Genomic DNA, 27,708 nt, shown 5'->3' on the forward strand with positions numbered 1-27,708 from the left:
GGACTCTGTTTATAACTCACTTTTTAGCAACCAACCACATAATTAGGGCGCTTAACCAATGCCTTCTGATGATAACAATTTGATGATAAATTTTTCCAATCCCCAAAAATGTCAACTAAATGAAGCTTTAGTGCTTGATAGATTGCAGCACAACATGTCTTAAGCTTTAGTATAAAAACACGTCACCTGGGGCCTTGTTAAAATGTGGATTCTGATTCAGTAGGGCAGGGGGGTCTGAAACCCCCATTTCTAACAAGCTCCCAGGTGATGCTGATGCCATAGGATCTCAAACTGCTCATTGAGTAGTGGGGCTGTGCAGAGTGATGTTCTAGAAGTGCCCAAACCTATACTCTCTCTAATAAACAGACAATGCCAACACAAGCCAGCTAATAAATGCAGACAGGAAAAACTGCAAGGCATTTATTTGCTTATTAGTTGAACCAGAATTTGAATATCAAACTATAAGCTCCTTAAGAGTAGAGACTTCCTTGTTAATTTTGAAACTCCAGGGATCAGCATGCCTGGAACATGTACTTGGTGATCAATACATATTCATCGAGTGAACACATGAATAAATGGAAGGATGGATGCCATGACTGAGCCAGGCATGCCAGAGCATAGAGTAATGAAGAGGAGAGTCAGTCCTAAATTCTCAGGGAGGTAACCAACCTGTTATTTAAATTTACTCTCATTTAAAACAAATGACCCAGTAGCCAACACTTGCCAACACTTCACTGCTGTTTCTCCCACCTGCCACCAAGTCTTCCATATCATTGTCCTCGATGATCTCTGTGAACTCAGAGATACTTATGTCTTCCTGGCTGGTGGGGGCCACCAGTCCATGGATGTTGTCCAAGGTGATGTCATCCTCATAGCCCTCTCCCACCATGTGGATGGAGGTCTCCTCATATTGGTTGTTGATCACTGACAAGTGGATGATACCTCTCATCCTCCCAACCTTCTGGGAGTGGAAAACGACATCAAATTCAGCTGTATCTCCAGGAGAAACAACCAAGGAGGCTGTGTGAGCTTTCTTTGCTGCAAAGAGAAGAGAGAAGATATGATTTAGAACTAGTTTCAAGAAATGTGTATCTATAAAGACCCCTGTTGAAGGGAAAGTAACCCTAGAATGGGAACGAGCCTTAGCTAGAGGCCAGTGGTGACGAGACTGGGCATTCCCCTCTGGCTGGGCCTTGAGTGGTCCCCTAATGAAGCAGCTACTGAGATCCATTGCCCTCTAGAAGCACCCTCCCCACACTTACCTTTTACATGTGGTTTATTTTCCTCTGTGATGTAGATATACGCGGTGGTGGGCCTCCCTTTCAGGGAGAAGACTCCTAGCTCATCCTGCAGGTCAACATGCAGCTGGCAGAAGGAAAGCAGGGATGAGTGCTAGGCTTACAGGCTGCTCATGGGCTTTGAGTCTGGGGTGAGATACTGTGCTGTGTTTGGGGCAGGACCCCAAAAAGGTATTATGCCTAGTATTCACTTTTTTGAATTTCTTAAGAGAGATAAATAATAAATATTAGACCTGGAGAGGACAGAAGAACATTCAGTCAGATCAGCCCTTGTTATCTGAGTGAGGAACTGGAGGTCCAAGGAGTATGCAGAACTTTCCAGATCACGTAGGTAGTGTCAAAATGTGGTTGCCAACACCTCTGTCATTAACAGAGGCAGTTATAAAATATACGCTAGGCCAATAAAATGCAAATGAATACTTGTAATTCTATAAGGGCCTGCATTGATGTCAATTCCTAAAAACCAGTATCTCCTAGGTGCTATGCATTAGTTTAGTTGCCTGATAGTGTCATGTTGAGCATCCTACCACGATAAGAGAAAAAACAAGGTGGGCATTTGACCTACTTGGAGAAAGTGGTGGTTTCTGGCCCATTATAAGGAAGATAAGACTAAAGCCATACATCTGATTTCGGATATGAGACATCAGCAGGCATTGTTAGAAGACAGTAATGCTGGCACCATCATGAAAAAGATTGAATAATACAAAATATGAGGCATGGAGAAGGCAGAAATAGTGATATCACACGGGAAGCTTCTGAGATAAAAAATTATGTATTTAGAAACAACTTTAATAAGAAACTATATGGAAGAATTATATGTAAGAATATTGACATAAAAGATCTAAATAAATGGGTGGAAATCCTAAATGTTCCTGGTGGAGAGTCTAAATACTCCGCAAGCAGAAATCCTACCAGATTCAGAGGCTTCCCGATGGGATTTTTAAAGGAACGTTATAAAATAATTATAAAGCTTATTTGAGAGATTAATAGGTGAAAATTGTTAAGAAAAATGGCAAAAACAGGGAATGGGTGGATAGGAATTCACTGAACTAGATGCTAAAACATATTATAAAGCCACAATAATGGAAACGATGCAGGGTAATGGTAAACTAGGTAACCTGAGCTCAAGGCAACAACAATTGCTAGACTAAATATATATAAAAAAATTTTTTTTAAAGCATAACAGAGCTACGAAGAGAATGAGGAGTAAATAGACCAGGATCTGTGAGAGTATAGAAATCCAGCAAGGTCAGTCTCACTTTCTGGGCAGTTTTTGTCCGCCCAGAGCATTTGCCAGTCAGGAAAAGGTAGACAGGAGGCTTGTCTGCACATTTTTTTTTTTTTTAATTTTGATACGGAATCTCACTCTGTCACCCAGGCCGGAGCGCAGTGGTGAAATCTTGGCTCACTGCAACCTTTGTCTCCCGGGTTCTGGCGATTCTCCTGCCTCAGCCTCCAGAGTAGCTAGGATTACAGGCGCGAGTCACCATGCCCAGCTAATTTTTGTATGTTTTTAGTAAAGATGGGATTTTACCAGGTTGTCCAGGCTGGTCTCAAAATCCTGATCTGCCCACCTCAGCCTCTCAAGTTGCTGGGATTACAGGCGTTGTCTGTACTTTTTATGGTCTTTTGGTGCTAAGAGGGCAAAAGTTCAAGGCCTGTGGAAGGTGACAATGCTTTCTTCTGGGCTGGGACCTCAAAAGATGAAAGGTGAGCTGGATATAAACCAGCTTTCCCAAGGGTGGCAATCCTGCTCTGAGTCATCTGGGTAATCCAGAAAATCTCAAACCCTAACACTGGCTTAAAGTGATCCTGAATTTCTAGTGCCCCCAAGTGTTGGGCAGAAGCAAATGAAAATTGCCTCTGAAGAAAAATATGATCCTTAGTTTAATGATTTCTAAATAACTTTTACAATATAATACCCAACACATGAACAGAAGATAACCAGGCACATGAGGAGGCAGGGCAACATGGGCAAAGATGAGTAGAAATAGTAGAAAAAGATGAGTAGAAATACCAGAAAGAGCCACAATGACTGTGGATTTTGGAATTATCTGGTATAGACTGTAAAATGCCTATGATTACTGTGTTCAAGAAATAAAAGTCATGTCTGACAATTTCAGCTAGAAACTAGAAACAGTAAACATGAATTATTCAGATTTTTAAAACAGCCTAATAGAAATTCTAAGACTGAAAAATATAATAACTTAAGGACTTAATGGAAACTTTAACAGTAGATTCAATACAGTTAAAGGGAGAGTTAATAAACTGAAGACAGGTCAAAAGAAATTATGTAGAATGAAGCCCAGAGGAAAAGTGAGTGGAAAATATAGTGAGACTAGAGACACAGAAGATATAGTGAGAAGGTCTTCTATATATTTAATTATCATCCCAGAAGTAGAGATTAGAGAGAATGAAATAGAAACAATATTTAAAGACATGTCTAGAAATTTTCCAAAATTGACTTAATTTTAATCCACAGAATCAAGAAGTCTAGTGAATTCTAACAAGGATAAATTAAAAGAACTCCACACCTGGACATATCATAGTAAAACTGTAGAAAACAAAGTGAAAAGGTAAAAGGCAGTCAGAAAAAAAGAATGCCTTAAAGTAGCAGTCCCCAACCTTTTTGGCACCAGGAACTGGTTTCATGGAATACAATTTTTCCATGGACCAGGCAATGGGGAATGGTTTTGGGTTGAAACTGTTCCACTTCAGATAATCAGGCATTAGATTCTTATAAGGAGCACGCAGCCTAGATCCCTCACACGTGCAGTTCAAAATAGGGTTTGCACTCCTATGAGAATCTAATGCCGCTGCTGATCTGAGAGGAAGGGAGCTCAGGTGGTAATGTGAGTGATGGGGTGTGGCTGTAAATACAGATGAGCTTTTGCTCATGAGTCTGTGGCCTGGGGGTTGGGGACCCCTCTCTTAAAACATTTTAGGCTTATAGCTGACAACTCAGCAGTTAACAACGGAAACCGGAATACAGTGGAATAATATCTCCCATTTGCTGAAAGAAAACAACTGCCAAACCAGAACTCTATAGCCAGTAAAAACGATGTTTAAAATGAAGGAGAAATAGAGACTTCACCACCAGCAGACCCCCATTAAGGAAATACTGAAGAGTATTCTTCAGTTGGTAGGAAAAGGGTCCAAGATGGTGATATGGTTTGGCTGTGTCCCCATCCAAGTCTCATCTTGAATTGTAGCTCCCATAACTCCCACGTGTTGCGGGAGGGACCTGGTGGGAGGTAAATGAATCATGGGGGCGGGTCTTTCCCAGGCTGTTCTCCTGATAGTGAATAAGTCTCACAAGATCTGATGGTTTTATAAATGGGAGTTCCCCTGCACAAGCTCTCTTGCCTGCCACCACGTAAGACATGTCTTTCTCCTCCTTTGCCTTCCACTGTGATAGTGAGGCCTCCCCAGCCATGTGGAACTGTGAGTCCTATTTTTTCTTTATAAATTACCCAGTCTCAGGTATGTCTTTATTGGTAGCATGAGAACTGACAAATACAGATGGAAAATTGGAGACCCAGGAATAAAGAGCAATAAAAATGATTAATAAATGAGTAAACCTAAATGGGCCATAAATGTATAAACAATAACAACAACAGCAGCAAGAACAATAGTGGCAATGTCTTGTAGGGTTTAAAATATTTAGAGAATCCCAAGCCTTCCACAAGTTGCTCCATTACTGTATCCTTTCATTTTTATCTTCCTTGCTCTTCTACCTATACCTATGCTCTCATGAAGCTGGGTGCTTACTATCTCCTGTAGTAGTGTGCACGTTTTGTTTTGTTTTGTTTTTTGGCTTCTGCACCTTTGAAGCTTTCTCTCTATTTCTGGTTTGCATGGACTGCCAAATGCCCACTGAAGGCATTGCTGAAACCCAACTCCTACAATGAGCCCTGTTCAAACGTCATTTACAGTGAATTTTCCCTTCATTGTCTAGATGGGAATAGATCTTTTTCAAAAGTCCTACAGTCCCTTGTAGAGCACAATACATCACATTTTGTAAAATAAAACCATAATTTAATCATTGAATCAAAATACATTTGAATGCTGTATTTTTCACCCCTCCTGAAGTTTCTTTTATCATCTTATCCTCATTGCAAATGCAATGTTCATTACAGAAAACAATTAAAAAAACAAAGAAGATATTAAGAACACCCATAATCCTACCCACTCAGCTTGGTGCACATCACTGCACACTACCTTGGACAGTAGTTAATGATATATTGTGGAATCTGGTTTCTTACTTTCCTTGAGGACAAATGTCATGCCAGATTCCCCTCTGCATGTCCCTGACACATAGGTTAATGTATGTGGATCAACAGAGAAGTCCTCATACATTAGGCATGGCAGAGGCCCCAGTGGCAGAAGTGTAACTTCTGGATTCTTCTCCCTTTCAGCCTCATGCTTCACCCTCGAGTATTACCTGGGCAGGGAGGACACCATTGTTCTTGAGGATGAGAGGCAGCTTCTCTGAATGACCAAGGAGAAGCCTCTTAAAGAGGAGCAAGGGGTTTCCATATTGGTTATGAAGAACTGGCCGCACAACCGTCACTCGAGGGAGGTTCCCCTCACCAGCGATGTCAAACACGAGGCCTCGGCTCTTGGCCAGGGTGCTGTAGGGGACAGGAAGATTGTAGCCTGTCAGCCTGGCATGGTGGGAATGACACTCCCTACAGAGTGTGGCCTGCAGTCCTGCTGCAGGAGAGGGAGCTGGGAGCTGGGAGTTGGTACCTGGGCAAGCCATCCAAGGTAGCCTCAAAGATGCACTGGTAGTTCTGCATGATCTGCGGGGTGAAGGACACCGTGGCAAAGGCATGGGAATGACTGGCAATGCACATCTTGCTGGGTTCCACTTCAAAAATGTCGACGATGCGGGCAAAGGGCTGGTGATGGGGGCAGAGACCAGAGTGTGTCAGTGCCTTTGTATTCTCACCAGGCTTACTCCTTATTTTCAGGAGTCCCCCACCTCTCATCTAAGTGCTGTGGTGGACATGCTCCACTGCCTGCAGGGTGAGGGGCTCTGGAGGGAACAGCCTGGGACCCACCCCTGAATGATGCCTGGCTAGATTTGGCTAGACCTATGATTTTTGACTCAAATTGATGAACTAAGCCAGGAATCCAGATATTCTCCCTGCTACCCCACCCCTGTCAACTAAATTGGGATGCCCAAAGATTGGTGTTGGTTGGTTTTTAAATTCTTTCTGTGACAGGATCTTGCTCTGTCACTCATGTTGGAGTGCAGTGGCATGATCATGGTTCACTGCAGCCTCGACCTCCTGGACCCAGGCAATCCTCCCACCTCAGCCTCCCGAGTAGCTGGGACTACAGGAGTGTGCCACTATGCCCAGCTAATTTTTTTTTTTTTTGTACATATGGGGTTTCATCATGTTTCCCAGGCTGGTCTCAAACTCCTGGGCTCAAGTAATCTGCCTGCCTCGGCCTCCCATAGTGCTGGGATTACAGGTGTAAGCCGCCGTGCCGGGCCGGTGCTGGTTGTTAAAATGTGGAGCTGAGCTGGGAGCTGGCTGAATCACATGCAAGATGAGAAAGCTGGATGAGAGAATGGAGCAGTGGAAACCCTGTGAGAGAGACATGTGGCTCTTGAGAGATGGACAGAGCATCCGCTGGTCTTCTAAAGGGCGGACTTCAGGTGATGGTGCCAGTCCCAAGGAGTCCCGGCCACGTGATGTGTTCTGACCTGTGCCTGAGGTGTCTGATTCACTGCAGTAAGCCTTGCTTTGTCTGGGTTAATCTGAGAGGGTTTCTGCTCCTTGTAACTCCAAGAGCCTTGGCTAGAACAACCTCCCACAGCACTTTATCTGTTCCCAACTTGTGGCAGTGTTTTGGGACTGTAGGGAGCCCTGGCATGGCCTTAAAAGGATTTTTCATTCTCATGGGAAGTAGGTGGGATTCAAGACTGACTATTCCCTCTTGTTCTTAAACTGAGGGCACTCAGGTTTCTCTTTGCTTTTTCCAAAGGATAGCCTTCAAGTCTGCAAACTAGGGTGGAGGAGAACATGTGATATCTGCAAATCCTCTTATAAAGTCTCTCTTTAGAAATAAGACTTGTGGCTGGGTGTGGTGGCTCACTCTTGTAATCCTAGCACTTTGGGAGGCTGAGGCGGGAGGATCGCTTGAGCCCAGGAGTTCGAGACCAACCTGGTCAACATGGTGAAACCCTGTCTCTACAAAAAATACAAAAACTAGCCAAGCATGGTGGTGCGTGCCTGTAGTCCCAGCTACTCAGGAGGCTGAGGTGGGAGGATCACTTGAGCCCAGGAAGTCAAGGCTGCAGTGAGCCATGATGGCGCCATTGCACTCCAGCCTGGGCAACGAGAGTGAGACTGTCTCAAAAAAAAAAAAAAAAAAAATCAGTCTTCCTCACTTTTTATGTTTTTAGTACAGAAGAGGAAGAAAGCTGCCCCTTAGTATCCCAAATAAGATTAGAGAATAGGCCGGGTGCGGTGGCTCATGCCCGTAATCCCAGCACTTTGGGAGGCCGAGGCGGGTGGATCACGAGGTCAGGAGATCGTGACCATCCTGGCTAACACGGTGAAACCCCGTCTCTACTAAAAATACAAAAAATTAGCCGGGCATGGTGGTGGGTGCCTGTAGTCCCAGCTACTTGGGAGGCTGAGGCAGGAGAATGGCGTGAACCTGGGAGGCAGAGCTTGCAGTGAGCTGAGATTGCGCCACTGCACTCCAGCCTGGGCGACAGAGCAAGACTCCGTCTCAAAAAAAAAAAAAAAACTCAGAGAATAATGACTGGGAGTCACCAGGGCCTGAAGGAAGTCATAAAACGGATTATGTAGTCTCCCCAACCATACCTCTCTGCATTGACATTCCCCAGGAATGCACACTCCATATGTAGCTCTAGGCTGATACCAACACCCTTGGTGACCTCCCCACCACCCTCAACTGTGAACAATGCCAGCTCTGGGGCCTGAGGACCTCCTGGGCCCAGATTCTACTTTCAGGCAGAGAACTGAAGCAGCCTTCATAAAACTAGAGTATTTGCCACACATTGGATTGGAAATTAAGGGTGACAGAAACCCACTGATTAAGACCTCTCTTGGTATCCTGAATTTTCTGTTCTGCTGTGAAAAAAAGTATGATCTGACTCAGAGAGAAAAGGCAGTTTCGAGCCTGGCAGCCCCCTGAGATGGGCAATTATTTCATCTTGTATGTGGATGAAGCTTGGCTTTAAGCCCAGCCCTATATTCTCAGGCTCTGGGACCTAGGGGAAGGATTTAGCTTTTTAAGCCTCAGTTTCCCTAACTGTAGAATCGGGATAATAATACAAAGTCGGAAGAGTTGTTGTGAGGGCAAAAGGAGGCAGTAAATATAAATCACTTAGCACAGTGCTTGTCACATGGGAAGGGCTAAAACATGCTCATCATTTCACCTTATCCTCAGAATCTGATGCCCCCAAATCTCCCTTACCAGCAGAATATGCAGCTGGAGGTAGGCCTGTCTGGAGCTGGCACTCACCTTAGCCTCTCCCCACCATGCTTTGTCTATTTTAGGCACATAGTGAGCATTCAATGGAGGAATGCGGTTTGCTCGTCCATGCGTACTTATCACAAAGGTACCCGGAGGAGACACCCACTGGGACAAATGTATCACCACTGGCCTAGGGGAAAGCCCCCGGTTACTTCACATAACTTCCAGCAGGGCCAGATAATTTCCACTCACGCATACAGGCTCCAGAGCAGAGGATGCTGAGAGCCCTTTTTCCAGCTTTATGTGAACCACGCTGGGCCAGGGGCCATTGGGAGCGTCTTACCTTATTGGAGATAGGCCTGACTACAATGTTGACATCACAGGTGATCTTTCCCACGTTGCTGATCTTGAAACGAGCCTTGGCTTGGCGGCCCACCAGGACATTGCAGAAGATGAACTTGTTCTCATCCTCGACGAACAGCCCCCCGCTCTCTATGGTCTGCAGGATGTGGTGCAGGTTGGCACTGGTACATATCTGGTGCTCTTCAAATATCAAGGCATTGTTTTCGGTCACGAAGGCTGGGGAGTGAAGGGGAGACCATGAGATGCTGCCTGATTGCTGGATTCCCACTCTGTGATTCCTAATTTGGAACTCTGGATTCTCACAAAGGAGAATTGTGGAGGACACATAGGCGAAGTCATGCAAGGGGGTGTGAGGGATGGGAAACATTCTGTCTTGTCTTCCTCTTTTGTACAGTCCTTGCTGGTTGCCACACTCCAGTGAGCATTTTTCTCCCAATGGTAAGATCCAAGATCTGGGGTGTGCTATGGAGGGAAGGAGGCAACTGGCCCACTATGCTTCAAGGCTCCAGGGATCCTATCGTCAAAGCATGAGGCATTCTCTTTGCACCTCATCTGCCCTCCTGCTGGGTTACAGATTTTGCATGCTCAGTAACTGAACATTGTTCTCTGTGGACATGTTGCCCACCGGGAGTGGCCTGGCCATGAGCGGGACTCAGTGCTCCTGGGTCCTGTGCCACAGCCCATCCCATCATGATTCTCAGATAACACTATTCATCTGGGAATCCAGGACCAGCCTCCTGGGAGTGTGAAGCTGCACCTCCTCCCTTAGGTATATGCCCTGGAAAAATACAACTGAAGACACTAGAGCAAGTTCTAGGACCCTGAAGGAAGCATCCCAGCCATGTCTGCCAGAAATCTTTGGAAAAACTTGCAAGAAAGAAGGTAGAAGTGTTACAGATGAAGGTCTTTTATTTATGTATTTGTTTTTTTGAGACAGACTCTCACTCTGTTGTGGAGTACAGTGGCGTGATCTCGGCTCACTGCAAACTCCACCTCCTGGGTTCAAATGCCTCCTGAGTAGCTGGGATTACAGGCATGTGCCACCACACCCAGCTAATTTTTTGTATTTTTAGTAGAGACGGGGTTTTGCCATGTTGGCCAGGCTGGTCTCAAACTCCTGACCTTAGGTGATCTGCCCGCCTTGGCCTCCCAAAGTGCTGGGATCACAAGCGTGAGCCACTGCACCAGGTCTCAGATGAACACCTTTTAAGTGGTGCTGTCCAATGTGAGTGGTCAGTACCTGGTAGACAGGCTTCAGCTAGCAAAGTGTAAAGAATGCCGGCAGGGTGGACTGCAGGGTCTCGGCCGGAGATATCGATGGCTATAAACTCCTCACACTTTCCCATGGCGTCAGCCACACAGTCAACGTTGATGACCTGCTGTCCTCCGGAAGGAATGGAGCCAAACCCAGGGTACACGGTGAACATGCCATGGGCGAAGCGGGCCTGCAGGACAAGGGTGGGAGGGATAGGAGGCTTGGAGGCAGAGTGAGTGACAGCCAGACTATGGGGGCTGTTAGATGGTGTGGAGAGGGGGAGGGACACGTGGGGCTTCTTCTCACAGGCACTCTCTGGGCCCTCTTTCCTCTCCTCCTGGAGGGACAGAGGGCCAGGGATGGGAAGGGGGTCTTCAGTGATAGGTTGCTCTCTCAGTGCTTCCTTCTATGCAAATTCATTTAGACCAATCATGTTTGAACTAAGGGTTTAAAGGAACAGATAGACTCCACATCATATAGCACTTATTCAGCTGGGCATCTTGAAGCAGAGGGGTGCAGAATGGCGTAGTGGGTGAGGTTATGGGCCTTTGAGTGACACACGCCTGGGTTTGAATCCCAGCCCTGCTAAATATTGACTGTTTGACCTTAAACAAATGACTTCTCTGAGTCTCAGTTTATTTATCTATAAAATGGGGCTAAAGCCCCGACCCCAGAGATTGCTGGAGGTTTAAATGAAAGAACAGGTGTGAAGCATGTAGCATAGCATCTGGTATGGAATTAGTGCTAAAACAAAACAAAACAAAACAAAACAAAACAAAACAAAACAAAACAAAACAAAACAGGATGTTGGTGCAATCCTTAGATGTCCCGGCTCTTCTCTCTCCTGCTTGTAGTTTTCCGGATGACCGTAGAATGTGCTGACAATGCAGTGGCCTGAGATAAGGGAAGGGTCTGGAACAGCCCAGGCTCTGTTCTCATCTTTCCTAGAACAGAATGTCCTGCAGTGCTTCAGCTCAGAGATCCACATTTCCTCTGGAGCACAAAATCCAGGGCAGAATGCTTTTGGTGTGCTTCAGCTGCAGTGTGAAGTGGGGCATGCATTGACAGGACTTCATCTATCCGAGGCAGCTTTCTTGAGCCTTGGGGGACCAGCTGTCCATGAATATGAGTCTTCTGTTGGTTCTTGCTACCTATCCGTGAGTGATAACTTGCTTTGCGTGACTTGTGTGAGTGTTCTGCTGCACTGGACTCATACCCTGGCAGTTGGATTTGTGCAAAACCTCTGGCAGCTGGGGTTTGTGAAGGACATCCTGCCAGATCTAGGAACCACAGCAGAAATCAGTGCTGAGTCTAGTGGCACTCTTCACACAGGCATCTGTGTGGATGCAGCCCCTAGCATTGTGCAGTGTGACTGCACAGACATACACGGAAGCTGCTATTAACTGACTTGGTCACTATTTACAGAATACCTACTATGTGCTAGGAGATGTCCTGGGCACTGGTGATTCCCAGATAAACCATCCTGACAGAAGAGAAGGTTGGAGAATAGTAGAAAATGGCATGATGTTGTCTCAAAGGAGCAAGGTCATAGTGAGGGCAAAGAACAGCTGAAATGAGCGGAACTGAGGCAGCAGAAAGCTAGAAGAGATGGAAGCAGTCAGAGAAAGAGGTCTTGGAAATCAAGGATTCAGAAGCACCTCAGTTTCTTGTGATGTAAGATCCAGGCTCTGACCATTAAAATAAGTTGCCAATGTAGAGGAGAGGATAAGTTCATTGCAACTGAAAGGCAGAGTGCTGGAGAGGCTGTTTCACTGAAGGCTGAGAAGATATGGTAGGCAAAGAAGGAAAAAAAAAATCTGTAGAAGAGATGAGAGTTATAGAAACATATGTAGAAAATTATGTTTGTTAATGAAATAGAAGCCTTTGCTTGACAAGTGGAAACCACTTGAAAAGACATAAAAACCAACATGTAGAAAACCCAGTTCACTTCAATCAATAATTATTGCTGTTCATAGAGTGCAGAATACCTGCTTCTCTCATTGCCTTCAATGCAGAGGTGGTGGCTGGAGTTGCAGAGGCCACCTTGCAACCATGAGGGAAAGGCCAACAGAATCACAAGCAACAATAAACTATTAAACCAACATCAGCAATTGCCTACCCCATTTAAATATGCCATATTTGTTTAAACCACTAATGTTGGATTTTCTGCTATCTGCAGCCAAACGTGATTCTGATACACAAATCAAGCACCTCCTCCTCTGTGAAGCCTTCAATGACTCTTCACAGCTACCCGGAACAGCAAGACTTCGTTCTTCAATTTTTCTAGAGTCTATCCATGTACATGCACCTCAGTTATAGTACACGCACCTCAATTATAGTATTTACCATCTTGCTTAACAACTGCTCATTCACCTGCTTTTTATAAAGAATTCCTATTGTCTGTCTTCAAGTTCACTGATTCTTTCCCCGCTCTGTCTAAAATATTTCCTCTACATCCATTTAAAACCATATCAGACAGTATTATATAGTTTTGCTTCCATTGACAAACATAATTTAGAAAACCCAGGAAGAGAAGTAAGGTCTACTGAATTTACCTACATTATTGCTTACCATGTTTTTTTCTTCCTTGTTGATGTCCCATGATTTTATCTTCTGTTATTTACTTTTTGTTTTGAGAACTTCCTTTAGCCATTCTTATAGGGTAAGTCTACTGGTGACAAATTCTTTTAGCTTTGTTTCATTTGAGAAAGTCGATTTTCCATTTATCCCTGAGAAATATTTTTGCTGGATATAAGATTCTGGGTCCACAGTTATTGGTTCTCTACACTTGAAAATATTGTGCCACTTTCTTTTGGGTCTCTATGGTTTTTGTAAGAAATCTGCTGTCATTCAAGGTTCATTTCTCTCTTGATGTGTTCAAGATTTTTTTTTCTTTTCTTTAATTTTCAGAAGTTTGACTATGATGTGTGTTGGTAAGGATTTCTTTTGGTTTCTCCTATTTGGGTTTGCTCAGATTCTTGAGTCTGTAGGTTTACATCTTTTGCCAAATTTGAAAAGTTTTCTGTCATTATTCCTTTGAGTATATTTTCAGTCCCACCCTCTTTTGTAACTCTTTCTGGAACTCCAATGACAAGCGCATTAGATCTTTAGATCTTTTGTTATGGTTCCACAGATCCCTGAGCATCAATTCATTTTTTCTCATTAGACTTAAATAGACTTTCAAGGGACTCAAAACAGAGTCTACTTTCTCTCTTTTATTTAGACTGGGCAGAATAATGGCCTCCGAAAGATGTCCACATCCTAATCTCTGGAACCTGTGAATATGTTACCTTATACAGCAAAAGGACTTGGTTGACATGATTACATTAAGAACCTTGAGATGAGGAGATTATTCTGGATTATAATGGGCCCAATGTAATCACAAGGGTCCTTAGAAATGGAAGAGAGTTAGAAGGAGATATGACTATGGAGGAGGTTGGAGTAATGTGATGTGAGAAGGATTCGATCCTCTGTTGCTGGCTTTGAGGATGATAGAAGGGGACTACAAGCCAAGGAATGTGGGCTGCCTCCAGAAGCTAAAAAAACAATGAAAAGGATTCTTTCCTGGTGTCTCCAGAAAAGAATACAGCCCTTCCAACACCTTGATTTTAGCACTTCTGACCTACAGAACTATAAGATAAAAAATGTGTAATACTTTAAGCTTCTAAATTTGAGGTAATTTGTTGTGAGAACAATAAGAAACAAACACAGGAATCCCTATTGTCTGTCTTCAAGTTCACTGATTCTTTTCTTTTCTTTTTTTTTTTGAGGTGGAGTCTCACTCTGTTGCCCCAGCTGGAGTGCAGTGGTGCGATCTCAGCTCACTGCAAACTCTGCCTCCCGGGTTCATGCCATTCTCCTGCCTCAGCCTCTCGAGTAGCTGGGACTACAGGCACCTGCCACCATGCCTGGCTATTTTTTTGTATTTTTAGTAGAGACAGGGTTTCACTGTGTTATCCAGGATGGTCTCGATCCCCTGACCTCGTGATCCGCTTGCCTCGGCCTCCCAAAGTGCTGGGATTACAGGCACGAGCCACGGCGCCTGGCCCAAGTTCACTGATTCTTTTCCTCTGTTCCCTCTGTGTTGTTGAGCCCATCCATTGAGTTCTAAATTTGTTTATTTATCTTCAATTCCAGAATCTCCATTTGCTTCTTCTCTACATCTTCTGTCTTTGCTGAGACATACTATTTTAAAAATTTTCCAAGCATGCTTATAATTGCTCATTGAAACATTTTCAGATAATTCTAACACCTCTCTCATCTCAGTGTTGTCATCTAGCATTTATCTATTTTCCTTCAGTTTCAGTTCTTCCTGGTTCTTGGTATGATGAGTGATTTTCAACTGAAACCTGGACATTTTGGGTGTTATGCTATGAGACTTGGGATCTGATTTAAATCTTCTGTTTGGGCTGGCTTTCTTTTGGCACTGCCCTGGCAGGGGAAGGTAGTATACTGCCTTGCTACTGCCAGATGGGGGCAGTAGTCCAGATTCCCCACTCAGACCCATCATTCCTGCTGGGCAGGGGTGGGTGTCCCAGCTCTCCACTAGTCCTCAACTGATACGTGCCTGGTGGGGATTGGTGAGTGCCTGTTACTGTTCTGTTGATGCCATGGGAGATGGAGGGGTCCTCTGACACCATTCCAGCAGGGGATGGGGGAATGTCTCATTATCACTAGGTTGGGGTGGACGTCATGGTTCCCCATGTGGTATCTCCACAAACAGCACAGGAGGTGGTGGGGGACACTTGTTACCACCCATGGGAATGAAAATCTCGGCTTGGTATTCGACCTTCTCCGACGCCACCCTGGCAAGGGGGTGGGGCACCTCATGACAGCTTGGAGAGGGTGGAGTCTAGACTCTCTATTTGGCCTTTGCTAGCAGAGGTGGCGTGGGACCAAATATTTTTCTTTGGTGTTTGGCTGTGGTAGAACAGTTATTATATAGAAGTTTTCTGTCTTTCTAGGTTAACTGTTGTCTTTTGGTTACTGTCTAGAAGTTTTCTGTCTTTCTAGGGGCAACCTAGAAAGGCAGAAAGAAAGTAGGAGTAGGCTTCTGTTGGGGCTTTCTTTTTGTCTGTGTCTGTTGATGTTTTAGGGTTGCTGGCTGCTTCAGCACCCAGTCTGGGAGATATGAGGCAAAAAGAAAACTTGGGAACTCACCACCTTGATCTTCCTTGGGTCCCAAAGTCCCTGGGGCTGGTCTGGTTTCTTCTCTCTACCTTTCAGAGTCTGAAGTCTGTTTTATACATGATGCCCAGGGTTTTTAGTTGTACTTAGTTGGGAAGAATAGGGAAAAGTACATCTAGTTGATCTTACCAGAAGCAGAAATCCTTGAATCTCCTTTTATTTAAGCCTGTTTGAATGGGCTTCTCTTTCTTATAAGCAAATTATTCTTGATTAAAATACATATGAAGAGTAGAAACAATTTTAAGGCAGTGGCAAGCCAATGAAGGTTTTAAAGCAAAAGAGGATATCCAAATTAAAGGTCATAACATCTTAGCTTAAAATGAAAGTGACATTTCAGTATAATTATTTCATATTCCTGCCATGATGGATTCAAATCCTGTTATCCTAGGGAGGTATTTGGTGTCAAGAGCTAATTGGGAGTTGGCCTTACTGGGTATCTGTAAGAACAGGGAAAAGGACACGCACCTGGCCTGTGGTGGTTACTTCTTTCTGAATCGTGTCAGAGAACTTGGCTGCTCTGGAAGAGCCAGTTTTGTAGAAGCTCTCACTTTCTCGGGATCTTGCATGTCTGACGTGGCTGGCTCTGATTAAAGAAGCAAGAGTATACCCTTAGATTGTGGGGTCGGGGGTAACATTAGACACCACCTGTCTGTTTTCTTGCAAGGGCCCTTCTCCCAGGAATGGGGGAAGGGGCCCTTCTTTGCCCAAGAGGACACTGGAGTGGCATAGTTAGCTAGTTAATCACTGACCAAACTCATTTAGCAACTGTAAGGAAACTAGGCGGTAATTATACTTATTAAATATGATTTATAGGGACACCGAAAATTACTGCAAGAAGATAGTAAGTTTTAAATGCCTACTTGAGTTCACTGGAAAGCAGTGTGCAGAAAATTACTTGTGGATGTCAAATGTTTTACTTAATCTGATTTTAAAAAATGAAATGGCAAATAAATTAAGCTCTTTTCTGTATCTTCACATTTATAGTTGTGATGTTTTTAAGGTTTAGTATAAGCAGTAGTTCAAATATAGGTCTTGGTAGTTGTTCACTTGCCTTGAAACTAGTTTATCCAATAATTAGTTTGCCTAGAGACCAGTTCACCTAAAATATTCAAATGTATCTGAAATGCATCTTAAACTTTTGAGAATTTTATATATTCAAGCATTCACTTGCTTAATGACCAGAACACGTGAAGTTCAACCCCCTTTCGTGTGTTTTGTATGAACTTGTGCATGCTAAAATAACAAATAAATAAAAACCAATGTAAAGCAAAACAGAATTAAGTCATAATCATTATAGACATTACATTGTTATAAATTGTAAAAAAATTCAGTTGAAATTAAACTAGGAAGAAAGAGACTTTACACAATTCAACTCTACATTTTAAAAAATGTTCAAATTTTGTCAAAACAGAAAAGAATAGCTACAGAAATATAAAACAACTACAATGTAAAGCCATACATCTTATTTAAAAGAATTAACTAGAAAGTCAAAATTAAATCAGAAGTGCCTCAGGAATCGGTAAAAACCATCCTTAATTTGCCCGAAAAAGAGTATGGCAGCCCAGTAGAAGCCAAAAGCACTCAAAAGACAAATTGTTTTGGGTGAATTGATTGACAGCCTCCTTTTGAAGAACATGGAGTTTTGCTGTTGGAACAACTATTAAGGTAGCTTTGTGACGGTGTCTTCATGGGGAGAAGGCAATAATAGTAACAGGCAATAACAATAATAGTCCCTGGTAGGCTGAAGGCATCACCGCACTTCCTCTCTTCCACGCTTCCAGAGCAGCCCCACCATGAAGCACTGCTACGATTTCTTTTGATTTAGCTTCCTATGATAATAATTTCTTGGCGTTGTACAGAATGACACATAGGACAATGATCTAACAAGTCCTTCAGCACGCCAGGAGCACCAGGACAACAGACAAAATTCCAGGCAGAAGACTGTGTTTGTTCAACTAAAATTTATGATATATTCTACAGGAAATCTATGAAACCTGGAGTCAGAAGATGTGGGCTCACACCAAGATCTACTGGTGATTTCGTGTATAGTATTTAAAAAAAAATTTTTTTATTTTTTATTTTTTTGAGACAGAGTCTCGTTCTGTCGCCCAGACTGGAGTGCAGTGGCGCGATCTCGGCTCACTGCAACCTCCGCCTCTCAGGTTCAAGCGATTCTCCTGCCTCAGCCTCCCGAGTAGCTGGGATTACAGGCATGTGCCACCACACTTGGCTAATTTTTGTATTGTTAGTAGAGATGGGGTTTCACCACATTGGCCAGGCTGGTCTCGACCTCCTGATCTCAGGTGATCTGCCCGCCTTGGCCTCCCAAAGCGCTGCGATTACAGGTGTGAGCCACTGCGCCCAGCTTTTGTGCATAATCTAAATGAGCCATTTCTAAATCTTACTGATCTCACCCACAAAACGGGATTGGGTGAATTTAAGTAAGATATACGAAAGCTCTTTATAAAATATAAAGCATAAATTAAAGAGGGAATGGAATGAGTTAAGTAAATATTTGTCTTACGCTTTCTTTTGATGAATGGGGCTCTCCCCTGTCAGCTTATAAAGGGCGAACTTGAAGTCAGTAACACCTTGATTTTCTATGGTGAAGGTGGTGCTTTTACGAGTGCCACAGATCAAAGCTCCAAAGTTGATGACAGAGGAGGGGGTGATGTTGTATTTGGAATATACTGCATTCGCGGAAAACTTAATTGGGATGCTGGCAATGATCTCACCTCCTTCTGAAATATTGGGCTCAATAATCTAAAACGGGAAGAAGAATGAGCAAGTCAGCCACTGCTGTAGCTACAGAATTCCCATGATTATCTACCCCATTCCCTATTTTCATCATTGACATGAAGCCATGTTCTTTATTTCACTGTCTTCGTATTATTGCGAACACTAAAACAGAGCTTACTGTGTACCAGCCAAGGGTCAACTTAGCCAACTTTTCCTCATGTTTTCAGTTCCCTGCTCATCCTTTGCACTTGATGATGGGACTCAGCTTCCCTGCCTCTGATGCTCCCCAAAGACCTGGGGGCACATTTCCTCACTGGATCTAATTCTGATGACTTTGCCTGATAGTTAGGACAGAACCCCGGTGTATCCTATCTGGTTGCCACCCAGGCCAGCCCTCCCCTTTTCTCCCTGGAGCATGGATTAGGTCATGTATCCTTCTTTGCAACAGGAGTCGTACGATCCTGCCATTGAGGCAGCCCCTCCCTTTGGAGCTCTCTTACCTGACAGCGCAGAACAGGCTGGTGCTCAATCTTCACTTCCTTTTTTGCATGGAAGAAAACTTGGACATTTGTGGGTTTTTCTGTTGGGGTCAGTGAACCCTTTTTGGGTTGGACTGAGATCATGGAATTTATATTAGGTGTTGAAATCCCTACAGAGTCCACGGAAAAGCTGAAAGACAAGAATAAGAAGTCAGCCTAGGTCATTATCCCGGGAACTCAAGATCCCAGAGAGGAGACTCTAGATGGTTGAGTGCCTGCTGTGTTTCCAGCCCTGTTTAGCCACTACGTCCGGCGGAGTCCACTGTGCTTTGTACATCGTGATCGCCTCTCCTTAGCCAGGATTGACCAGGCTAGGAATTGATGCTTACGGCAAAGACAGCCATACTCTATCCCATGGTCAAGAGAGGCCATTGCAGGAGATCTCTGTCCAACAGGGACATTGGATATTGAAAAAGGACCATCTAAATTAATTCTCTCTTTCTCTGTTTGTGTCTGTCTGGCTTTCAGCACATGCAGAGCGAACAGTGACACAGAAACCAGAGAACCTGGGGAGAGAGACAGCAGGGAGGGGGCAGGGGTCCTGTAACAGAGGTACTGGGGAGGGAAGCCCATGGCCTACTGGAGGTGAGGCAAGAACCACAGGAAGAAGCTGGCTCATGAGACCGGCAGAGGGACTGCCGTAGGCTCAAGATGTATCCCACCTAGGCAGAGGTGGGATGCCCGGAGTTGCTGTGGGGCTCTGAATGTCACCGCCATGCTCCAGGAGACCCTGGCTGCCCAATTACCTGCACCCCTGTGCTTCCTTGCTTCCCTGCGCATTCTTTCAACAAACCCTCTATCACCTGTTCCAACCTGAGAGTGACTCCATTCCATGCAACCTCAAAGAGCACAGCTAATGCCCCTGTCTTAATCTAAAAGAAAACTCACCAACAGGCAAGATTCCACTTAGCACTAATTCCAAACTGACAGGGGAAAAGTCTCTTTGTCATCTGTGAATTCTTGGGGAAGGAGAACTTTCCATGGAATGAAAAGTGTGGGCACTGCCATGAAGGGCTGTGTGGCCCTGTCTGAGGGGTGTTTCCCTCCCTCCTCCCGTGTGCCACCCTTTCCTTGCTGAGGAGCCTCCCTGATTTTGTGTTACTTTTTCTTTTCTTTTCTTTTCTTTTTTTTTTTTTGAGACAGGGTCTCGCTCTGTTGCTGAGGCTGGAGTGCAGTGGCACGATCACGGCTCACTGCAGCCTTGACCTCTCTGGGCTCAAGCGATCCTTCCATTCCAGTCTCCCAAGTAGATGGGACTACAAGTGATATGACCACCACGCCTAGCTAACTTTTTTTGTATTTTGTAGAGGCAGGGGGGTCTTGCCACTTTGCTCAGGCTGGTCTCCAACTCCTGGGCTCAAGCAATCTGCCTGCCTTCACCTCCTACAGTGCTGGGATTACAGGCATGAGCCATCACACCCAGCCTCTGTGTTTCATTTTTTATCTCAGGGGATGAGCACAAGCCAGAGCTCTATTCTACCAAGCTACTATTTGGATTGTACAATATCATGATTCTTAGAATGTAATGAAAAAGGAAAGCCCTTTCTTCACATGAAATCTGCTGAAGAAGGTCTCCTTGTAAAGCAGATAAGAGCTGGCAGAAGGCAGGACAGCTTGAGGCCAGGTCGCCCATCTCCAGTCTCTCCCTCCACCCTGGGACCTCTTCTCACCCCTAGAATCTCCCCCTCCCGGCCTCTTCCCCTAAGTCTCTTCCTCCATTCCCAGACACCTATGGTTCCAACTGGCCAGGTACATCCGGGCCACTTAAAGGCCCCTGTTAAGCTGCAGAGTTGAGAGCAGTGTGAGAATCTCTGCTCCCTTAGCAGGTGGAATTCCATTCTTTTGAAGCCAAGGGAGGCAAAAAAGCAGAGACGGTTCTTATGATTTCCTTGACTGACTGATAAGTTTCCCAGACACGCTATTCCCCACGGTGGACTTGACGGCCGCAAACCCTATCGGATTCAGGTTACCTGAACACGATCTCATATTTCCCCACATTCCTCCCCACGGCGGACTTGATGGCCTTACATCTGATGGGATTCCAGTTACCTGAACGCGATCTCATATTTCCCACGGTTCTTCAATTGCAGGGGCTGCTTCGCCTCCTCTGTGACCCTGACAATCCCAAAATCCAGTCCCCCTTCAGCTCCTGCAGAGACCAGGGGCCAGGGCAGAGAGGGGTGAATGGGCATGAGAGTGGGAAGCAGGGGAAGTGCCTGTTGAAATTCACATGGAAAACGCATGGTGACAGTTTAAGAGAATTTGTTTTCTGAAAGTACTGTGGCTAGAAAAGCCTCTTATAATTGAATCTGGGCAAACAAACAACAGATGCTGCTCTTGATGCACTCTACAGGGCTGGTCCCTCTGGATTCCCTCCATCCTAGGATCATTGCCTTTCATGTCTACCATCAGCTAAAACTTTCAGTATTTAAAAAAGTCTTGCATAAAGTTGGGATATTACACATATATTTATGTTGTTTTACTTAGTATTACTTCATAAGCATTTCCCCCAAATAATTAAAAACTCCTCATAAGTGTGTTCTTTGTGGCTGCATAATATCCCACGATATGGTGGTTCCATAATTCATGATATTATTCCTACAATACTACTATTTCATTATTGATGGGCATTTAGGTTTTTCCAACTTTTCATTGTTATAAAAAATGCTGCAATAAAAGATCTTTGTACATGAGACTCATGACATCTAAACACGTGGCTCTAACATTCTATGAGTTTTGCTGAGGAGACCTCTTGGGGAAAGGAGGGAAATGCAGAGCTGTAGGCTAAAGGGAGAGCTGAAACTCGGGTGTTAGGGCAGTGCAGGGACAGATAACAGCCTCAGCCCCACCTCCCAATTCCTGGAATCTGTGAGTATGCTACCTTACATGGCACAGGGGAATTAAAGAAGCAGATGGAATTAATTCACTGACCTACAAATACAGAGATTAATTTGGAATATCTTGGTCAGCTCAATATAATCACAAGGGGGCTTAAGAGCAAAAGAGGAAGGCAGGGTGGGAGAACCAGAGAAAAGGCAACGTGAGATGGAGTTGGCCCAACCTTGCTGTCTTTGAATGTGGAGAAAGGGGACCATGTGGGCGGCCTCTAGGAGTTGGAAACGGTATGGAAATGGATTCTCCCCCAGAGCTTCCAGAAGGGAAGGCAGCCCTGCTGACACCTTGATTTTAGCCCAGTGAGACCCATTTTGCACTTGTGACTTCCAGAACTGTAGGGCAATATGTTTGTGTTGTTTTAAGCCAGAAAGCTTATGGGGACATTTTATGGCAGTGATAGAAAACTAATACAGGAAAGAGGAGAGGTGTTTACTGTAAATGACTGCTCTGAAAAGAGCTCTGCAAATTTTACACCTATGACCACCCGCTTTCTACCTCTGGTTGGAGAAATTACGATTTGTAGTCATGCTGCTAATATCACTCTGGGGCTCACATTATTATTTATTAAAATTGCCCCATGCCCAATCCCTGCAATACTAACAACACACTAGCCTTTCTCTACACAGAAATACACTATACAAAAGACCCAACTTCCAAACATCCTGTCCTTGAAGGGCCCAACAGACCTTTGGGGAAGGTGATGTCCAAGGCGATGTCGTATGCCTCTGCAAAGACCATGATATTTTCAATCTGAACAACACCAAGAAGATTTTCTGCATCTAAAACCTGGCAGGGAAAGGGAAAGTCTTCAGTAAAAGCAAGACCTATAGGTGCTTGGAGCCTGAAACATGTAATATCCTAACGGGGATACGGCAGGGAACGTTTTGAAGTGTATTCCCCTGTAGGTATTTTATCTTCGCCAAGCATTTGGTAGGATTTGTGCTCCTCTTAATACTCTGGGGAATGCTGGTACAAAGAATACAAGAATGGGGAAAAGGGACTGACTTTTTTATTGTTGCTACATTACTGAAGTTTGGGCTTGGGGTAGACATTACAGGAAAGTGGTTTTCTTTTTTGAGGCAGGCTCTCACTCTGTCACCCAGGCTGGAGTGCAGTGGCGCAATCTCGGCTCACTGCAGCCTCAACCTCCCGGGCTCAAGCCATCCTCCCATCTCAGCCTCCCGAGTAGGTGGGACTACAGGAGTGCATCATCATGCTTGGCTAATTTTTGTATTGTTTTTTATAGAGATGGGGTTTCACCATGTTGCCTAGGCTGGTCTTGAACTCTTGAACTCAAACAATCCTCCCGTCTCAGCCTCCAAAAGTGTTGGGGTTATAGATGTGAGCCATCATGCCCAACTGTTTTTTTTTTTTTTTTTTAACTTCTAAATCAAATGAACCTAGTGAGCACTGCCCTGACAGTTGAAATGGAAAACCTTCATGCTCCAGGTCATCCTTGCTCTACTCATTTTATAAATTTGAATCGTTCTGTTCTTTGTTTGTGGCTCAGCCTGTGGGGAAAGTGCTAGACTTTTCGTAGAAAGCAAGTGTTTAATGTTTGGAAATACCCAATGTTTTATTTCTGTGAATATCGTGGACCCCTCTGTTGTCATGCCTGGGGATGGTCCCTCCCTCATTGTTCTCTGGCACCTCTAAACTGCTGCAGCTGTCAGCCTGACCTGATTGCTGACTCTTTTTTTCCCTCTTCTTTATATATACATATATTTTATTTTGATAGCTTTTGGGGGTACAAATGGTTAGACTGACAACCCACAGAATGGCAGAAAATATTTGCAAACTATGCATCTGACAAAGGACTAATATCCAGAATATACAAGGAACTCAATCAAATCAACAAAAAAATCCCCAAATAATCCCATCAAAAAGTGGGTAAATGACATGAACCAACTGTTGCCTCTTGAGGCTAACTAGGAGGCGGTAAAGGGTCCATCTGTCCAGGAAAAGAACTGGGGGGCAGTGGGGGAAGCTCTCCTGGGTCTGCTCTGGGGAGTCCACCTCTGTCTCTGCTCCAGTTGAAAGCCCAAGCCACCCACTCCCTATTGCATGTGCTTTGGGTGCCAGAAGGAAATTTGCAGCTGTCACCAAACTCAAGTTTTAATTCAGAATTTCCATCTTCTCTTTCATTAGATGCTTGCCAATGTTTCACAGAGCAAACTGGACCGACTTGAGTTTCGCCTTCTTTCTCTGACTGCTTGCCCTCTGACAGATGACAAGGTGGGCTGACAGGATGTGTGTAGTGCCTCCCTCCTGAGGGATGCCAAGTGCCTGGAGCCTTCTATTTCTCGGCTTCCCCAGGGTGGGTCGGAGGCAGTGGGGAGGCTGAATTTTGAATTGAGGAAAATAGGAAGGACAATTGAAGAGTTATACAGATGAAATAAAACAAGTTCACCAAAGGCTTTCAAAAGGGACTGGAGATGAAGGCATTTCCTTCTGTGGATGTGGAAGTGAATATAAGTTCACTTTGCGGGGCTCTACGGAGTTCCACGCTGCTTTGTTCAGAGCCCTAATCAGGCTGCTGTTTGGCTGGGACACATGGAGATGGTCACAACAGTTGTGAAAATACAAAAATGTGGCCGGTTGCAGTGGCTCACGCCTATAATCCCAGCACTTTGGGAGGACAAGGGGGGCAGATCGCTTGAGCTCAGGAGTTTGGGACCTGCCTGGGCAACATGGCAAGACCTCATCTCTACAAAAAATACAAAAATTAGCTGGGTGTGGTGGTGCACGCCTGTGGTCCTAGCTACTCAGGAGGCTGAGGTGGGAGGATTGCTTGAGCCCAGGAGGTGGAAGTTGCAGTGAGCTGAGATTGCACCACTGCACTCCAGCCTGAGCAACAGAGTGAGACCCTGTGTCAAGAAAAATAAAACAAAATAATAATAAAAACAAAAGCCTTTCTGTACCAGTTGGTAAGCAGCTGTCATGATGACCTCTCCAATATCCCCTTGCTGCCTGCCTCCTGTGCATCCCCACCACAGGAACCCCTGGACTCCCCATGATCCAGCAACTAGAGGACGAAGCTGGCACAGCTGTGGGACTCCAGGCCCTACACCAGCCAGGGGTCTGGGTACCTGGTGCAGAGCTCTGTGCCTGTGCAGAGGCTGGTGCTAAAAGCGTTGACCAGAACCTCTGGGCTTCTACACATTCATGGAGTGAATGAATCTATCAATATCTGTTTTCAGCCCTTTCAGTGAAGGGCTGTCATTGATAAGGGATAAGAGAGATTAGATCCACTGAGTGGCCCCAAAAGGTAGAAACATGATTCATGCATGTAATTGACAGGAAGAATTCTGAGCTCAACCCAAAGAAGAATTGACAGACCTGTTTAAAGGCAGAACAGGCTGCTTTAAGCGGTAGTGGTAAATTTTGTGTTCCTGGAAGCATTCAAAGAGAAGCTGGGATGATCCCGTGAATGTCAAAGAATCAGTTCAAGTATTTTTTTTTTTTTTGAGACAGAGTCTTGCTCTCTTGCCCAGGCTGGAGTGCAGTGGTGCGAACTTGGCTCATTGCAACCTCCGCCTCCAGGGTTCAAGTGATTCTCCTGCCTCAGCCTCCCGAGTAGCTGGGGTTACAGGCGTGCGCCACCACATCCGGCTAATTTTTGTAATTTGTAATTTTTGTAATTTTGTATTTTTGTATTTAGAGGTGCAATTTCACCATGTTGGCCAGGGTGGTCTTGAACTCCTGACCTCAAGTGATCTACCCACCTAGGCCTCCCAAAATGATGGGATTACAGGCGTTAGCCACCATGCCCGGCCTAGTTCAAGTACTAAAACTCAATGGCATTCATTCATTCATTAGATTCTGCTGAGTGCCTACTTCATCCAATCCCATGCTAGACACTGGGAATATGATGGTATGGGGAGTTGAACTGTGGTCCCCCAAAAAGTATGTCTACTTCTTAACTCCTGGAGCCTGTGAATATGACCTTATTTGGAAAAAAGGGTATTTGTGGATTTAATTAAGTCAAAGATCTAGAGATGAGATCGTCTTAGATTATCTGAGTGTGCCTTAAATCCAATGATAAATATTCTTATAAGAGACGGAAGAGAAGACACAGACAGAAGAGGTGTTGTGATGATGACAGAGGCAGAGACTGGAGTGATGCAGCCACAAGCTGAGAACACTCGCAGGAGACCCCAGAAGCTGAAGGGGAGAGAGAGGAAGGGTTCTTCCCTGGAGCCTTCAGAGAGAGCATGGCCCTGCCGGCACCTTGATTTTGGACATCTCGCCTCCAGAACGGTGAGAGAGGAATGTCTGTTTTTTAGTCACCCAGTATATGCTAATTTGTTGTAGTAGCCTTGGGGAACTAAGACAGATGTTAAGTCAGGTGAGATCCTGCCCTGATGCAGTTCATATAAGAAAGTAAAGAAAGAAGCAGGATAATGTTAGGAAGAGGTGGTGCTCTGAAGGATGGAAGACGGGGTGGGTTATTGCACGTAAGAGGGATTCTCTCAAAGGGATGATTAGAGAAGCCCAGTTGAAACAGCAATGTTGGGGGACCCTAAAGCTGGAGCCTAAGGGCAGATTCCCAGCAGGGTTGCAACAAGGTCAGTGGCTTGAGCCAAGAAACAGCCAAGACAGTGCGTGGGAGCCAATGATTGAGGGCGAGGGTGGAGCAAGTTGCGATGTGGAGGCAGGCATTGTCTCAGAGGCAGGTGAGGACCCCGGGCTTTATTCCTACTGCAGTGGGAAGCCAGGAGAGTGCGTTAGGTGGGGCATAACCTGTCTGAATGACATTGTAAAGATCCCTCTGGACACTGTGGCGAATGCCAACAGGGAAGCCAGTTAGGAAACCTCTGTAGAAGTCCAGGTGAGAGAAGCTGCAGGTGGCCTGGACAAGGTGGTGGCAACAGCGAGGAGAAAGAAGTGGATGGGAAAGATACATCGGGAGGCACCATGCCTGTAATCCCAGCACTTTGGGAGGCCGAGGCAGGAGGATCACTTGAGGTCAGGAGTTTGAGGCCAGCCTGGCCAACATGGTGAAACCCCGTCTCTACTAAAAATACAAAAAGTTAGCTGGGTGTAGTGGCGCGTGCCTGTAGTCCCAGCTACTCTGGAGGCTGAGGCAGGAGAATTGCTTGAACCCTGGAGGTGGAGGTTGCAGTGAGCCGAGATCACACCACTGCACTCCAGCCAGGGTGACAGAGCGAGACTCCATCTCAAAAAAAAAAAAAAAAAGATACATTGGGAGGTAAAATTAGCAACCTTTGTTGGAGGCCTGCGTCGGAAGGGAGGCCATTAAGAAAAGGGGGAATTAAGGCTGATCCCCAGGTGTCTGTTGGGAGCAACAGGGTGGAGGGTGACATTTCCCCAGATAGGAATCCGATAGGTGACTGGGTTTAGGAGTGTGAAATCAGGACTCTGATGCTTACCTAGGTATAGCAACACCATTTGTTCATTTGTTCATTCATTCATTCATTCATTCATTCATTCATTTATTTGTTCCTTCCTTCCACATTGATTGCTCTGTTCCTGGCACTGGGGAATCAGCCATAAGCAATATTGCCTCTATGGAGCTTGCAGTTGTGTGCACAGCAAGAGATTGTGGACTGGGGATATCGAAAGGGGATCAGATAGGAGCATGTAACAGGGAGACCTCTGTGTGTGTGTGTGTGTGTGTGTGTGTGTGTGTGTGTGTGTGTGTGTACATGCTTTGATAACCAAGTCTGTGGATGTGTGAAGCCTCACCTCCAACCGAATAGCCTTCTTGATGTTGACAGGCTTGGTGGGCTGAAAGTACAGGTGCAGGCCGTACTCAGCCTCAGGGGGGATGGTCCCCTGCATCAGGGATACAGTGAAATCATCACCCAAGTGCTCCAGGCTGGTGATCCGCCAGGCCACAGGCAGGAGCGTGACATTGCGGAGAAGAACTACCCTGGATTCCTGTCTGCAGAGACAAAAGGAAAGTTGCAATTTCATTTCAAATTTTGTAGTTTCATGTGTTTTT

At 45.0% G+C, this 27,708-nt stretch overlaps 1 protein-coding gene across 1 annotated transcript in view; it reads right to left on the bottom strand.

Annotated features, from left to right (window-relative positions):
- The window catches only part of HYDIN (HYDIN axonemal central pair apparatus protein), a 428,639-nt gene that overhangs the window by 71,471 nt on the left and 329,460 nt on the right, over positions 1–27,708 (bottom strand). Inside the window, exons 53-64 of the mRNA NM_001270974.2 lie at positions 27,450–27,648; positions 22,427–22,526; positions 20,895–20,994; positions 18,807–18,975; positions 18,092–18,330; positions 16,033–16,150; positions 10,366–10,570; positions 9,106–9,341; positions 6,051–6,202; positions 5,743–5,932; positions 1,263–1,365; positions 751–1,038 (exon numbers count right to left, since the gene is read on the bottom strand). Coding sequence (NP_001257903.1) covers positions 751–1,038; positions 1,263–1,365; positions 5,743–5,932; positions 6,051–6,202; positions 9,106–9,341; positions 10,366–10,570; positions 16,033–16,150; positions 18,092–18,330; positions 18,807–18,975; positions 20,895–20,994; positions 22,427–22,526; positions 27,450–27,648 — 2,099 coding nt within the window. The remainder of the gene's footprint in view (positions 1–750; positions 1,039–1,262; positions 1,366–5,742; positions 5,933–6,050; positions 6,203–9,105; positions 9,342–10,365; positions 10,571–16,032; positions 16,151–18,091; positions 18,331–18,806; positions 18,976–20,894; positions 20,995–22,426; positions 22,527–27,449; positions 27,649–27,708) is intronic.

Source organism: Homo sapiens, chromosome 16 (assembly GCF_000001405.40).
Source record: "Homo sapiens chromosome 16, GRCh38.p14 Primary Assembly".
Taxonomy (NCBI): domain Eukaryota; kingdom Metazoa; phylum Chordata; class Mammalia; order Primates; family Hominidae; genus Homo; species Homo sapiens.